The sequence below is a fragment of the Homo sapiens genome, chromosome 1 (genome assembly GCF_000001405.40).
Source record: "Homo sapiens chromosome 1, GRCh38.p14 Primary Assembly".
Classification (NCBI taxonomy): Eukaryota; Metazoa; Chordata; class Mammalia; order Primates; family Hominidae; genus Homo; species Homo sapiens.
Genome location: NC_000001.11, coordinates 232414592 through 232428404, shown reverse-complemented (window position 1 = coordinate 232428404; position 13813 = coordinate 232414592). Strand labels below are relative to the sequence as shown.

Here is a 13813-nt window from a genome sequence, read left to right as displayed (position 1 = left end):
GACTTAGGGAGCTTTGAAGTTACCAGAAACACTAAAAAAAAAAAAAAAAAAAAAGTCTAAAGAAACTCAGAGGTTTCCAGAGTACTCCCACATGCTTCATCTCTCATGACCCTACCAACAACTCACTGCACATAGTTGACCGTTGCCAATTTTGATTGTATCAGTATGTGAAGGGAGCCTGGGAGAGGTTAAGAAGGCTGTTTTTAAAACCTCAGATAGAGCTGAAAGTCCGGCTGGCCTAGCCTCAAATCCTGGCTCCAGCAATGGGTAGCTGCATGACTTTATGCAAGTGACTTGGCCTCTTGACCTCAATGCTCTCATCTGAAAAAAGGAGATCATAATAACTGAATTGTGAAGTTACAGTGAAGATAAGAAGTGATGTCTGAAGAGCCTAGTACAGCTCCTGGACATAACTAGTGATCGTGAACAGTAGCTGTTAAAATTCACACCACCTGACTTTTGTTCCAGAGCTCTAGCCTCTGCTCCAAGCTGTCTCTCCTTAAATGTAATCCTGTTCCAGAACTGAACTGGAGTTAGACAGCACACTGCTGGGCATTTTAAACAGGGTTGGAACTTGCACACTGCCATTTAGAGATATGCAGAGATCATAGGGAAGGTCATGCTTAAATCTCATAAACCAACCCCAAGTTCAGTGGCATACCTTTGTCATTCACAATGTAGTACTCGATAATGTTAGCTTGCTTATTGGCTTCAGTTTCATTATTATTGCAATCTCTTAAGCCACTTTGCTAAACAATTTAAAGTACTGAAAAGGACTTAAAGGCGATTTAGCCCAATCACCCCATTTAGCAAGTAACTGAGGCCCCAGATGGTAAAATGTGAGCTCTTCATAAATATTTGGTGCCAGAGTCAGCAACTGAGTCCTTGTCTCTCACTTCTAATCCAGCACTCCCTCTTGTTCATATGAAAAGGAAAAAGGAAATCAGGTATTGCCATACTGACCATGATCAGGGTAAACTGCAGGTCTTTGTGCTTCTGTCTTCCCTATAGTAAAACAATTCTGCAATTAACCTAATTGTGTTTTTAGAACAACACTCTAATTAGACACTACTGCAAAGCTGCTTTAATCTGATATGCCTGTAATCAAGTTCTGAAGAACCTGCTGGTGGTGTGTGAGGAGGGAATCCCATAAGAACTCCATCATAATGAGTCTTTTTTAAAAAACTTACATCAAGTCATGTACATGATACTGTATAAGCTTGGGTGCAAAGGCAGACTGTTGTACAAAGAGTGTAAATAGCTTTTCTTTTTGGAGGGTTGAACTTCTTGACATGTGTTTTTTCTTCTAAGACAAATCACCTTCTTTTCATGATGTAAATTTAACTTTGTAACTCACACACATTCCAGTTACCTTTCATCAGTTGGAAAGACTTGACAGAATGGAAGGAACACACACAATAGGAATATTTTTAGACTTACTGCTACATTCATAAATGTAAATAGCCATTTCTTTGTTTGATGATGTGAACATTCTGGCTTTTACTATTGTTTACCTAAAAGGATTGTGGTTCAGTATGCAAAGGAAGTAGTTGAAAATTCAGATTTGATTTAACTTTTCTTGAGTATTTGACCACTCATTTCTTAGTAAGAATTTTCCTTACCCTATCTGTAATTAAACACAACAATAATTTTAATGGTTCATTTAAGTCTGGTTATGATCCATTATTGTAACTCAATTTTCAACAATTATACAGACTTTGGCAAGTGATACTTTTTTTTTTTCCAAGACGGAGTCTTGCTCTGTTGCCCAGGCTGGAGTACAGTGGCACGATCTCGGCTCACTGCAAGCTCCGCCTCCCAGGTTCATGCCATTCTCCTGCCTCAGCCTCCCTAGTGGCTGGGACTACAGGCGTGCATCACCATGCCCAGCTAATTTTTTGTATTTTTAGTGGAGACAGGGTTTTACCATGTTAGCCAGAATGGTCTTGATCTCCTGACCTCGTGATCCACCAGCCTCTGCCTCCCAGAGTGCTGGGATTCCAGGCATGAGCCACTGTGCCCGGCCACAAGTGACACTTTTAAGTGGACAGTAAGACTTTATTGGACTGCTGCTGATTTTTGGAAATGTGTTTATGTGGCCGGCAAAGCTTCAATGTTCACAATTAGTCTTATTATTATTTAGATTAGATTGAACCTCACATGTAGTTGATTGGTAGAGAAATTGCCTAATATTACAATGTAGTCATTTCAAATTAAAATCAAACCAGTATTATGTGGAGCTTTGAATAACTATTGCCTGAAATGGCAACCTTATATAACTCCAGGAACTATCACTGCTATAAGGTTATGGAGGTTTTATTTAACATTTCAGAGTTAATAAAGCTGTGCATGTCTAATTCATGATAATATTTCATAGAATGTCAAAGGAGGAAAACATAAAATCTAATAACTGCACCCAAGCCCTGGTGTATTTGCCTTGATCCCCTGCATGCTGCGTTTGGCATTCTTGAGCTAACAGAGAAAACTCAAAGAAGCTATCACAATAGTATGTGAAACCACTGGACTTAGTCCAACAAGCCCCGTGCATTCGTTTTTTTAATGTCTGTTCCCTCCTCGCACCTTGTTTAAACCCTAGTTTTCGTTCTATGGGAACCTGTCTCCAAGGAGGTCGCTTTACCGCACGCTGTCTGACGAGAGCATCTGCAGCAACAGGAGGGGGTCCTCCTTTGGCAGTTCCCGGAGTTCCGTGCTTGACCAGGCCCTGCCCAACGACATTCTGTTCAGCACCACCCCACCCTACCACAGCACGCTGCCTCCGCGGGCCCACCCCGCACCCAGCATGGGGAGCCTGAGAAGTAAGTGAGGGGCTGGCTGCTCCCTGGCCAGCGCCGAGGGTGGGCTGATCGCACAACTCCTGCCTCATTGAGCTCTGAGGGTGGAGTGATTTAGGAGTTTGTTTTTGTTTTTATTAAATATATATTATTTGGTGTTTTAAATAATTTTCAAATATAGAAGCCCCAGAGTGGACATTTTGAAAAAGTTAGGTAACACTACCTATTTTGAAAGCAATTGAGAAACTCATGTTAGATATTTCTGTCAAGTCCAATAGTGACTTCTGCATCATATCTCAGCTATCATATCTATAAAGGAAAAAAATGTCTTTAGCCTGATTTAAAAAAAAAAAGAAAAGACTGATGTAAGGAGTGGGTTTTCCAGTGGGTGACAGCAAGGAGGGACATCTGGTTTTCTAGCCTTCAGTTTCTTCGTGCAGTTCAGTACCTGGAGATGGGGAGGTGGCACGTGTGCCTCGGGAGACCTGGCTTGTAGACTGGGCTTTACCCGTGGGCGGCTTTGTGTTCCTGTGCAGATGACGTGTGTTCTCTTGTGTCCCCGCTTATTTCAACTTACTAGTCACAGGTCAACCTGACGATTTCTAGATGATTTTCCTTCAAATCCTAAAAATCTTTGATTTTTATGTAGTGTCAAGTCTTCATTAATGTCAGTTTTTAAGGGCACTTTTTTTTATGTTAGCCTTATTTCCTTTATACATAGTTATTTTTGTACAGAAAAAATGGGAATTTAATCAGAAATCTATTCATTGCCAAGTTTTTTTTCATTTCATCACAGAAAATATCTTTAGAACCAATTCGAACTTCATAATACACTTAGAAGTCCCAGGCTAAATGAAATCAAAGTTCTAATAATATTTCCAATGTTTAACATAATTGGAAATGAACCTTATCTCATAAAATTCTTAATCTACTTCTTTAAGTAACATAATAACCTGCCTGTTATAAAGAGTCCATTTACCTAAATTGAAGAAACCTTTAAACGCCTTCTTGACAACCATGTGAAAGGTCAGCCAGACCTAGGCCACTTTCCTAATATTTCTCCAGCTGTTTTCTCTTTTTTGTAAAAGGTAACTTCAATGTCCTCTTAAAAGCTTTTGTAAAACCAATGAACCTCTATTTTCCTGCAAGTGTTATTTCATTTACAGTGTTTGAAGTGTGCTTGTGAACTCTCTGTGGTACGTGTGTTATGTTGGTCTTACATTCTACCCTTCATTTTGTTTCCAGGTGAAAGATGTATGTCCTTTTTTTTTTTTTTTTTTTTTTTTTTTTGTTAGCTTCACTTAAAAAAAAATAGACTTCTTAGAGCAGTTTTAGGTTCACACCAAAAAATACAGGGGTTTTCCATATACCTCCTCAACACATTTTCCCCACTGTCAACAAACCCCTGCCCTCAAAGAGTGGCAGTGGTACATGTGTTATAATCGATGAACCTATGTGGACAGATCCTTATCACCCAAAGGCCCTGGTTTACATTAGGGTTCGTTCCTGGTGGTGTACATTCTGTGTGTTTCTAAAATGTGTAAGATGACATGTATCCGCCATTACAGTATCATTCAGAGTAGTTACACTGCCCTAAAAATCCTCTGTGCTCTGCGTGTTCATCCCTCCCTCCCCTCTAGCTCCTGGCAACCACTAATCTTTTTACTATTTCCATTGTTTTGCCTTTTCTAGAATGTCGTATAGTTGGAATCATGCAGTATGCAGCCTTTTCAGACTGGCCTCTTCTACTTAGTAATAAGCATTCAACTTCCTCCATGTCTTTTCATGGTTTGATAGCTCATTTCTTTTTACAGCTGAATAATATTGCGTCATCTAGATGTACCGTAGTTTGTTTAGTCATATACTGGAGAACTGTATCCTTTTTTAATGTGTTCAAAGGCACAATTAGGAAACAGTCAAGTTATACTGTTCATTCACTGTCCTAGCTGAAAACTGCCTCACTTGTCTTCATTTTTACTTCTCTAGAAAAAGCACTAAGAGTTTTCCTTGCCATTTGCTCTCTTTAAAGAAACCTTCTTATTTGGTGATACATCTCCTCCAATAGCTACACTTAAGAAACTACTCGGAAAAAGTTCTCTAGGCTTGATGGATGAACTAACAAAATATAAATCAGAAAACTGGAGGTAATTTGTATTGAAGTGTATTCCCCTAAAGACTTCTGATTTCCAACCTCCTGTCCATGGAAAGTTTAAGCTTCCAGAATCTAATTGTTTGGAGGCCTCTAGTTCCCTGGCCTTCTGACTACCACAATCGCCTATGTGATTATAGATGCTCCTTGACTTACGATGGGGCCATGTCCAGATAAACCCACCATAAGTTGAAAATATTGTAAGTTGACCACGTATATGGCGACCTAACCTACTGAACATCATAGCATTTCCTAGCCTACCTTAAACGTACTCAGCACACTTGCATTAGCCTCTAATTGGGCAAAATCATCTTGCAACACAATACACTATACAATATCAGTTATTTACCCATGGAATCTCGTGCGTGGCTGACTGGGAGCTGTGACTCACTGCCAGTTCAGCATTGCGACAGAGTGTCATACCGCCTATCACTAGCCAGGGAAAAGTTCAAAATTCAAAATTTGAATTATGATTTCTACCGAGTATGTATCACTTTTGCACCATTAAGATCTACTCAAGACAGGTTTTAATAATCCTCTTCTTTCTATGGTTTCTGGCCATTCTGTAGACCCTCTCTAAGAAGATACCACTCTTTAAGAATAGTTTGACAGTCAAAAACTAGAGCAGCCCAAAAAGCTGAAATGTGAGTGTTAATGCCCAGAAGATGTCTTTGAGCGAGAAATGAGGAATATTTGAAGTTGCCCAGTAGTTTCTCTTAGTTTCTCAGAGAGATATAGCTTCACTTCAAAACTTGGAGCAGAGGTTGGTTCCAGATGGTTTTGAATTGCTGTGTAGATAGAGTTGGGCAGAAAACTCAGAAAGCACAGATACTCTTCTTTTAAACTTTAAAACATAGAGCATTCATAGGGAAAAGAGAATCTTTCACCAGGAGAGACTCAATCAGATTTTGTTTATAATTTGGAGGGAGGGTAGCAGGGCAAAGCACCAGTAACTGCCCATCTCTTCCCAGTGAATATTGGAAGACCTAATCTCTGCACCTTTTCTACATGTAATTATCATAGTCACAGGCTTCTCTTTCAGGTATTTTTAGCTTTTAAAAGTTACAGATTTGAATCTGTCTCAATCTTTCTTCTCTTGAGACTAAGATCTTAATCTTCATACTTAACAAGCTCATTTTGGATGTAATTCATGTCATGATTCATGTATATTTCCTGTGAAGTCACTGCAATGTGCTGTATCTTTATGTCTTCAACTTGGAGGTATGCAAATATCACCTGATCCAGCAGTTGAGAATATTTCTGAAACATTTCTGCCTTGCCTTTAGGACCTTTGTTTTTGTCATTGGTAGATTGCAGAAGAAAATTTATTTAAGGGCCCAGGTGAGAAAAAAAAATGACAGTGGGCTTTTGAACACACAGTTCACAGGCCACATAACCAGTGACACTGAAAAGCAGTCATATTTTCCTTTTATTCCTTGGCAGGTAGACACCTGGGTTCATTCAGCACAATCCCAAGCATTGGCAGGCTCACAGGCTTAAAGATAATTTTTTGGTTTTTTATGGAACGGAGATCAAAACTCTGAAATCTTCCTATCAGAATGGACTGATGAGAATTCTTAGATTTCAAAAATGAAAATAGAGAATATTATGTGTGGTTTCAAATCCTATAGTTCTGACCTACGCACATCACAAAGAATGCCCCTTGAAGTTAAAAAGTGGGAGAGTGGGAGAGTTTAGAATAAATAAAATAAACTGGTATTTTAGTTATAATGTAATACTTGCACATGTTGCTTCAGACCACATGTGTAGCCTCGGTGGTTTTGTGTTGTAGATGATAAGGACTACCAACCACCAGAGGAAGAATCTTTGCCAAGGGTGGCATGGCAAGGTATCCATCCATCTGCAAACAGGGTTTTGACTATTCAGTATTTGACTAGGCAGTGTTATTCAGTGTAATACTTCTTTCTCTTTTTTCAAATGTCCTCAGTCTTCCCTGTAATAAACATCGGTTTCTGAAAAGTGTAATTGTGAAACCTCAGATATCTGACCACCAGGAAATGCTGTTGAGAGGCTCCTTGGCATTTATAATAATAGCAATAAACTCAGACTCAGTAAAGATGGTTACTGTGATTTCAGGTTTTGGGTAAACAGACGGGAAGCCACAAGATCAATGTCGCTTGAGCAGGTGCGCAAGCCAGAGCAGGTGCGCAGGCAGTGGTTCCCTGATACTACCCCCCTTTCAGAATTCATGAGTCTCTCGAAAGGCTGACTTAGGTCCGTATGCAACATGGGCAGTAAGAATTGTGAGCACGGAGAAGTGTCTTCTCCAGAAGTGAGGTAGGATGGCATCTACCCAACTGTGCCCAAAAAATGCTTTCAGACAGTGTCCTCCCCTCTCTCCTGTTTTTTAACTCATCCTGAGAACTCCCAAGAAATATTATGGGTATGAAGTAAATTCAGTTACTATTGTTTTCTACTCACTAAATGTCTCATCTTGTTTGACATTAGTATGTGATACCATATGCAAAATTGGTTCGGGTTTCCATTTGGAAAAACTCTGTGAGAAACTTGTTATGCCAGGAGGTCACCGTGCTTCGTGTGGGGAGCCTGCAAATGTGCCCCACACTTGTGCCACCCACTTGCCTAGGCTGGCACTTTCTTTTTTTTTGAGACGGAGTCTCACTCTTTCGCTCAGGCCGGAGTGCAGTGGCACAATCTCGGCTCACTGCAAGCTCTGCCTCCCAGGTTCACGCCATTCTCCTGCCTCAGCCCCCCGAGTAGCTGGGACTACAGGCATCCACCACCGCACCTGGCTAATTTTTTGTATTTTTAGTAGAGACGGGGTTTCACCGTGTTAGCCAGGATGGTCTCCATCTCCTGATCTCGTGATCCGCCCGCCTCGGCCTCCCAAAGTGCTGGGATTACAGGCATGAGCCACCACGCCCAGCCACAGTCTTGTCTTAATTGGCCAGAAGAGTTGTACGGGCTCCTGAGGCTTGGGAGAGCTGGATTTAAAATAACAGGCTTTGATACCTGAGGCAAATGATGCCTTTCGTATAAAACCGTACAACTGAGGAGACAAGACAGTTCCAGCCACTGTGGCATCACAAAGCACAGGTGATCAATTGCTCTTGCTCCTTCAGGTCTGCACTATGTGTATCTTTTTTTGTTGTTGTTTGGAGACGGAGTTTCGCTCTTGTTGCTCAAGCTGGAGTGCAGTGGCGTGATCTTGGCTCGCTGCAGCCACCACCTCCCGGGTTCAAGCAATTCTCCTGCCTCAGCCTCCCGAGTAACTGGGATTACAGGAATGTACCACCACACCCAGCTAATTTTTTGTATTTTTAGTAGAAATGGGGTTTCACCATGTTAGCCAGGTTGGTCTCGAACTCCTGACCTCAGGTGATCTGCCTGCCTTGGCCTCCCAAAGTGCTGGGATTACAGGTGTGAGCCACCGCGCTCAGCCAGCACTGTGCATATCCTACTCCAAACCCCTCTCAGACCAACACCAACAGTATTCATCTGTTTGTTGACAGGGCTCTTTGAAGGATAGAACTTGTGTCTTACTAGTTATTCTCTCCCTAGGTTCTGATGTAGTACCCAGTAGTTCCTGGAATATAGAAGATGCTCGGTAAACATCATCTGGGTGATGGGGGTAGTGATAAAAGTATTGCATATAATTTTGGCTAGTTTAGAATCTGTGTTAGGCTGTTCTTGCATTGCTATAAAGAAATATCTGGGGCTGGGTAATTTATAAGAAAAGAGATTTAATTGGCTTTTGGTTCTTCAGGCTGTTCAGGAAGCATAGTGCTGGCATCAGCTTCTGGTGAGGGCCTCAGGAAGCTTACAGTCATGGTGGAAGGTAGAGGGGGGAGCAGGAGTGTCACATAGCAAGAGAAGGAGCAAGACAGAGTCCATGGCGAGATGCCACACTCAACCAGATCTCACGAGAACTCACTCTCACGAGAACTCACTCATTATCATGAGAATAGCATCAAGCCATGAGGGATCCACCCATGACTCAAACACCTTCCACGAGGCCCTACCTTCAACACTGGGAATTACATTTCAACATGAGATTTAGAGGGGACAACATCCGGACCATGTCAGAGACTCAAAAAAACAAAAACAAAAACAGAATAGTAATTTTCCCAGTTACATGATATTCTAATCAATGGAAAAGAAAATGTATGTGTTTTTCATGTTGATTATTCATGGAGATCTATAGGTGGCTCTTTGTCTAACAAGACTGCCATTGGAAGTCTTCCTGCTTATGGAAAAATGATGGATTTTAGATTTAAATCCCCATATTTTCATAGCTTTTATTCCTAAACTATGCTCTTCATTAAGAAGCTTCTCATCATTTGTGTCTCAGCCAAGTGTCCCCTCCTTGGACAGGCCTCCCCCAAATGTGCCACCAAGCTTCACAGTCACATCACCCTGTTTTGCTTTCTGCAGAAGACTTAATCACTCCTTGTATTTTCTTGTTTATTCATTTATTGTCTTTTCTTTGATGTAAAGCTTCATGAGAGCAGGGCCTTGTCTGCCCTACCCACTGTTGTGCCCCCATCACGTGGCAGGCAGTAGTCACTTATCAAATACATTGTGGTAGACTGCTGAGTGGACAGTGCTTCAGGTAAACTCATGAGAAAAGGAGACATCTCATCTGTGCTAACCTTCTTTGCCAGTTCTGCAGTATCAAATAGAAGTCCCATTCACCACTGGAGGAGGGGGGACAATATTTTGTAATAAAGAAAAAATGTCACCAACAAATGTCCTTTGCTTCTGCTCCCTGCTTGGCCAGCCATACAAATTAAAAGTGGTGAGGGGTTGTCTGGGCTTGCCTTTGGTTGTGAAATATACACCCCGAAACCATCTCAGATCCGAGAGCCATTAGTGCCACATTGTGTGGGGTCTCTGCATGCATTGCGTAGGGGGTAGCAGGCAGAGACCTTCAGAGCTGGTTGGCTGGCCTGCTCCGTGGGCAGCCGGGCCCACTCACGCACTGTGGGCCACAAAGATTCATGTTTGTGCCTTGGCAAAATTATGAATGGCCACGTATCAGGAACTTTAGAGGTGCTTAGGAATTGTCAGAGCTTATTTCACTCAAGACTGTCAGGAAACCACTCTATTGAGTACTGGGGAAAGATGCACACAGCTGCAGGAGGGACCAGGGGAAGGGGAAGCAAGGGACATTAATCTCACATCCCAGCTTGTGAATCAGGGCACTGGCCGCCATCCCCTCTGTTCTCATTGCATTTTACCCCTCTTGTCTACTGTGTTATTTTTCTCTTTTCCTGTCTCCTGTTATCGCCAAGTAAGGATCTTGTTGTATAGTGGTCTTAGGGGGAAAAGTAGCACATAGAATGTGTGTTAGGCTTGATTTTAGCCTTCAAGAATGCCAGAAGCTGGAATGAAGGATTGTTTCTTTATAAACACAAGGAAAATTCACGAGTTGGCATTTCTTAGTAAAACATGATGAACAGAATGTACTTTCTGTAGAAATGGCCGTGTATCTGAATAGAATTCCATTCCGCTCCCTGATGCTTCCCCTCCAGTGAGGGAAGGAGGGAGGACAGTGCTGCAGTGGGCCCAGATTCCAGCCTGCCTGACCTCCGCGGCCCTCACAGAGCTATGCCGCTCTTGCACCGTTTCCCGAAGAGCCCAGCCATGTGGAAATCAGTGACAAAAGTAATTGCTGCCTCCATATTTAATTTCTTTACACTCGGTGCAGAAAACTTGCCTTGAGCAAAGCAGCATATGAGTTGCAGAGAGAGAAGGAAGTGTTTTTTAAGTGAAGGAAGATTCCTGGGTTTCTTTACCTTTCTGCTTGAGGGTCTTTCTTTACCTTTCTGGAACCCTTTCTTCCTAAGCAACTGAGACAGGACCCGACAGCCAGTTCAGCCCAGTCTTTGCCCAGTAGGGAGCAAGGATGCTCCTGGGAAACAGTGAGTGCTGCGTGCCCTCCTTCCCACCTCCCACTCCTGCGTTGCTGCTTCCCTCCTCTGCTGGTTAACCTCTTGGCAAGGACAAGCACATCACACACAGAACAAGTAGAATAAGGAAGAACCAGTGTTGTTTCAAAGAAGAGCATGTGGAGAAGGGAGGGTGGAAACAATGTGGACAATATATCCATTACTGGGTTCCCTTCAAAATAGAGGCAGGGAATAATTAGGTGGAATATTACCCCAACTTCTAAAGGTGGTAGGTAGCATGGAAAATTGGCGTAGCTGTAACTGTTAGAGATCTGGTAAGAGCTGCATTTGTCCAGAGTCTCAAAAAAGTCTGTCGGTCTCCTTCAAGGCCAAATTTACTAGCTGTCTTAGTCCAGATGCCAGCATTTCACAGCTACCCAAAAGGATGTGGGAATAAAAATTACAGGTGCATTTGGTTAATTATGCCCCCTTACTTAACATAATTGCAGGCTCAAACAGCCAGGTGGTCATTATTTTGATTGGTCTAATTAGTCAGATGTGTTCACAAGCAGCTGCATGCAGTGTTCTGGGCAGGTTCAGAAAAGGCACATTAAAGTCCAGTTGAAGCCTTTTTAGAACTTGTCCTCAGATGCGTAATAAGTTCTTAACAACGAGTATTATTAATGACATAAACACTTAAGTACCTTGATGAGAGTTTAAGGAGAAAAAGAAATGGAAAAGGTCCATTCATAGCCAAAGGAAAACCACCCAACATTGAATACAGGGTGGGTGAGTGGTTTCTGCTTTAGCCATTGATAAAACTACCTTACTAAGTCAGAAAGGTAATCCAACCACTATGTGTGTGCTTTGTATATCAAATAGCATCCTCAATCTCATGTATTGATAAAAGCAAAGTTGGTCTTACTACATTTTTATAATCAATTGGTATTTGAGGCATCTCAAGTTTGTGGTGCTCAGCTTAGAAGTGTTCCTCAGTAAGCTTTATGAATCAGGATGGAGATTGTTCCAATACTTCTTACAGCAACGTAAACCCTGCAACACTTTTAAAAAGAGGAAGGTCTCCCCTGAAGAAAATGAGGATTTGTCTTGCAATAGTCAGACCTGGATGTACTCAAAAGAAGCCCCCTGGAAGAAAACCGCGAAATTACAATAGTGTACAGAGGCTTGATTCTAATCTTCCTGCCATCCCTGCCCTTACATGCTGGCCAACCTCTCACTAGTGCAGACTCGCCTGCTTTTTACAAACCTCCATTTTTCCAGCTAGATCCCTTTTGGGCAACTGCAGCCTCATGTTTTCTTTTTCCATTAAGAGCAGGAAAAATTATCTTGGCCACTTTGGGAGGGGATGGTGGTTCCTGTGCTGACTGACTCACTGGGAGGGGATAGCATTGCCTGTGCTGTGCTCCGACTGACTGACTCCTGACTGACTCTGGGAGGGACAGTGGTGCCCGTGTTCTGACTGACTCTGGGAGGGACAGTGGTGCCCGTGTTCTGACTGACTGACTCTGGGAGGGACAGTGGTGCCCGTGTTCTGACTGACTGACTCTGGGAGGGACAGTGGTGCCCGTGTTCTGACTGACTCTGGGAGGGACAGTGGTGCCCGTGTTCTGACTGACTGACTCTGGGAGGGGCAGTGGTGCCCGTGTTCTGACTGACTGACTCTGGGAGGGACAGTGGTGCCCGTGTTCTGACTGACTCTGGGAGGGACAGTGGTGCCCGTGTTCTGACTGACTCTGGGAGGGACAGTGGTGCCCGTGTTCTGACTGACTGACTCTGGGAGGGACAGTGGTGCCCGTGTTCTGACTGACTCTGGGAGGGGGCAGTGGTGCCCGTGTTCTGACTGACTGACTCTGGGAGGGGCAGTGGTGCCCATGTTCTGACTCACTCTGGGCTGGTGCCCGTGCTGTGACTGATGACTGACTCTCTGGTTTTGTTTCTGTTTAGATGAGTTCTGGTTCTCCGATGGGTCCTTATCAGATAAGTCCAAGTGCGCAGATCCTGGCCTGATGCCCCTCCCGGACACAGCCACAGGGTTAGATTGGACCCACCTCGTGGATGCTGCACGGGCATTTGAAGGTAAAGACTCACCAGCCTCTGGCCTCACCCCTTACCCTGGGAGTGCTTTCCTGCAGGGCCTGTGCGGCATCTTAGGGGAGCCCGTCTGTCTCCCATCGTCTGGTCAAAGTTTTGAATGTTTTGCCTTGTTGGATGATGAAAACAAGCAGGGGCTGGCTTGGGCTGTGAGGACATTTCCTGAGGGAGATCATGTCATTTAGTAAAAGGAGCACTAGGCAAGAAATCTGAAAACCCGAATTCTAGCTCTGGCACCATTTGTGACCTGGGTGGGACCTCTGTTTCCTATCTGAAAAGTAGAGGTGATTGTATGGAGAGCACCTTGCGTCTTTCCTCATAGCATACTGAGGTATAATGTGGGGGACACATTTAGGAGGCGGGAGCTGCTGGGCTTCGCCGGACAAGCACAGGCCGAGAAGTCTGTTCACCTGGCGTAAACACAGACTCCAGCGTGATTGGCTTGACCCATGCAAGTGTCTTTGGCTGTTGAGGCCTCGGCTTCTTCCTCTTAAAATGTGGGTCAGTGAGGGTAGGTGGGCTAGCCAATCTCTAAGAGCCATCCAGCTGCCACACTGTCTTCTGTCATTTTTGGTTGAGGCTACCCCTTCAGGAACACCTTTGTCCAGCTCGCAGATAAAGGTAGACAAAACAAGGAAGATGCTTGCTTCACGTGCAGCCTCAGGACCTCACGGTGATACTGTGTAAACCTGGGGCCCTCGGGATCGTGACTTATGACGTTTTGCCCTTTGCCGCTGCATTCTTCAGTGAGTTTTTACGATGGCAGGCTCTGGCACTGGGGAACCTGGCAGCTAGGACTGACAAAGGAGGCAGGATCATTTTAGTAGGGGCTGTTTAATGCCCTGCGCTCTGTGAGACTCTCATGGTGTAACTGAGTCACAGCATCC

The 13813-nt window shown here is 43.5% G+C and overlaps 1 protein-coding gene across 11 annotated transcripts in view; it reads left to right on the top strand.

Moving 5' to 3' along the window:
* Positions 1-13813, top strand: part of SIPA1L2 (signal induced proliferation associated 1 like 2) — a 232532-nt gene that overhangs the window by 202092 nt on the left and 16627 nt on the right. For all 11 annotated transcript variants that reach the window (NM_001377488.1, XM_017001896.2, XM_047426142.1 and 8 more), the window contains 2 exons: positions 2597-2816; positions 12780-12911. In NM_001377488.1, the coding sequence (NP_001364417.1) occupies positions 2597-2816; positions 12780-12911 (352 nt within the window). The remainder of the gene's footprint in view (positions 1-2596; positions 2817-12779; positions 12912-13813) is intronic.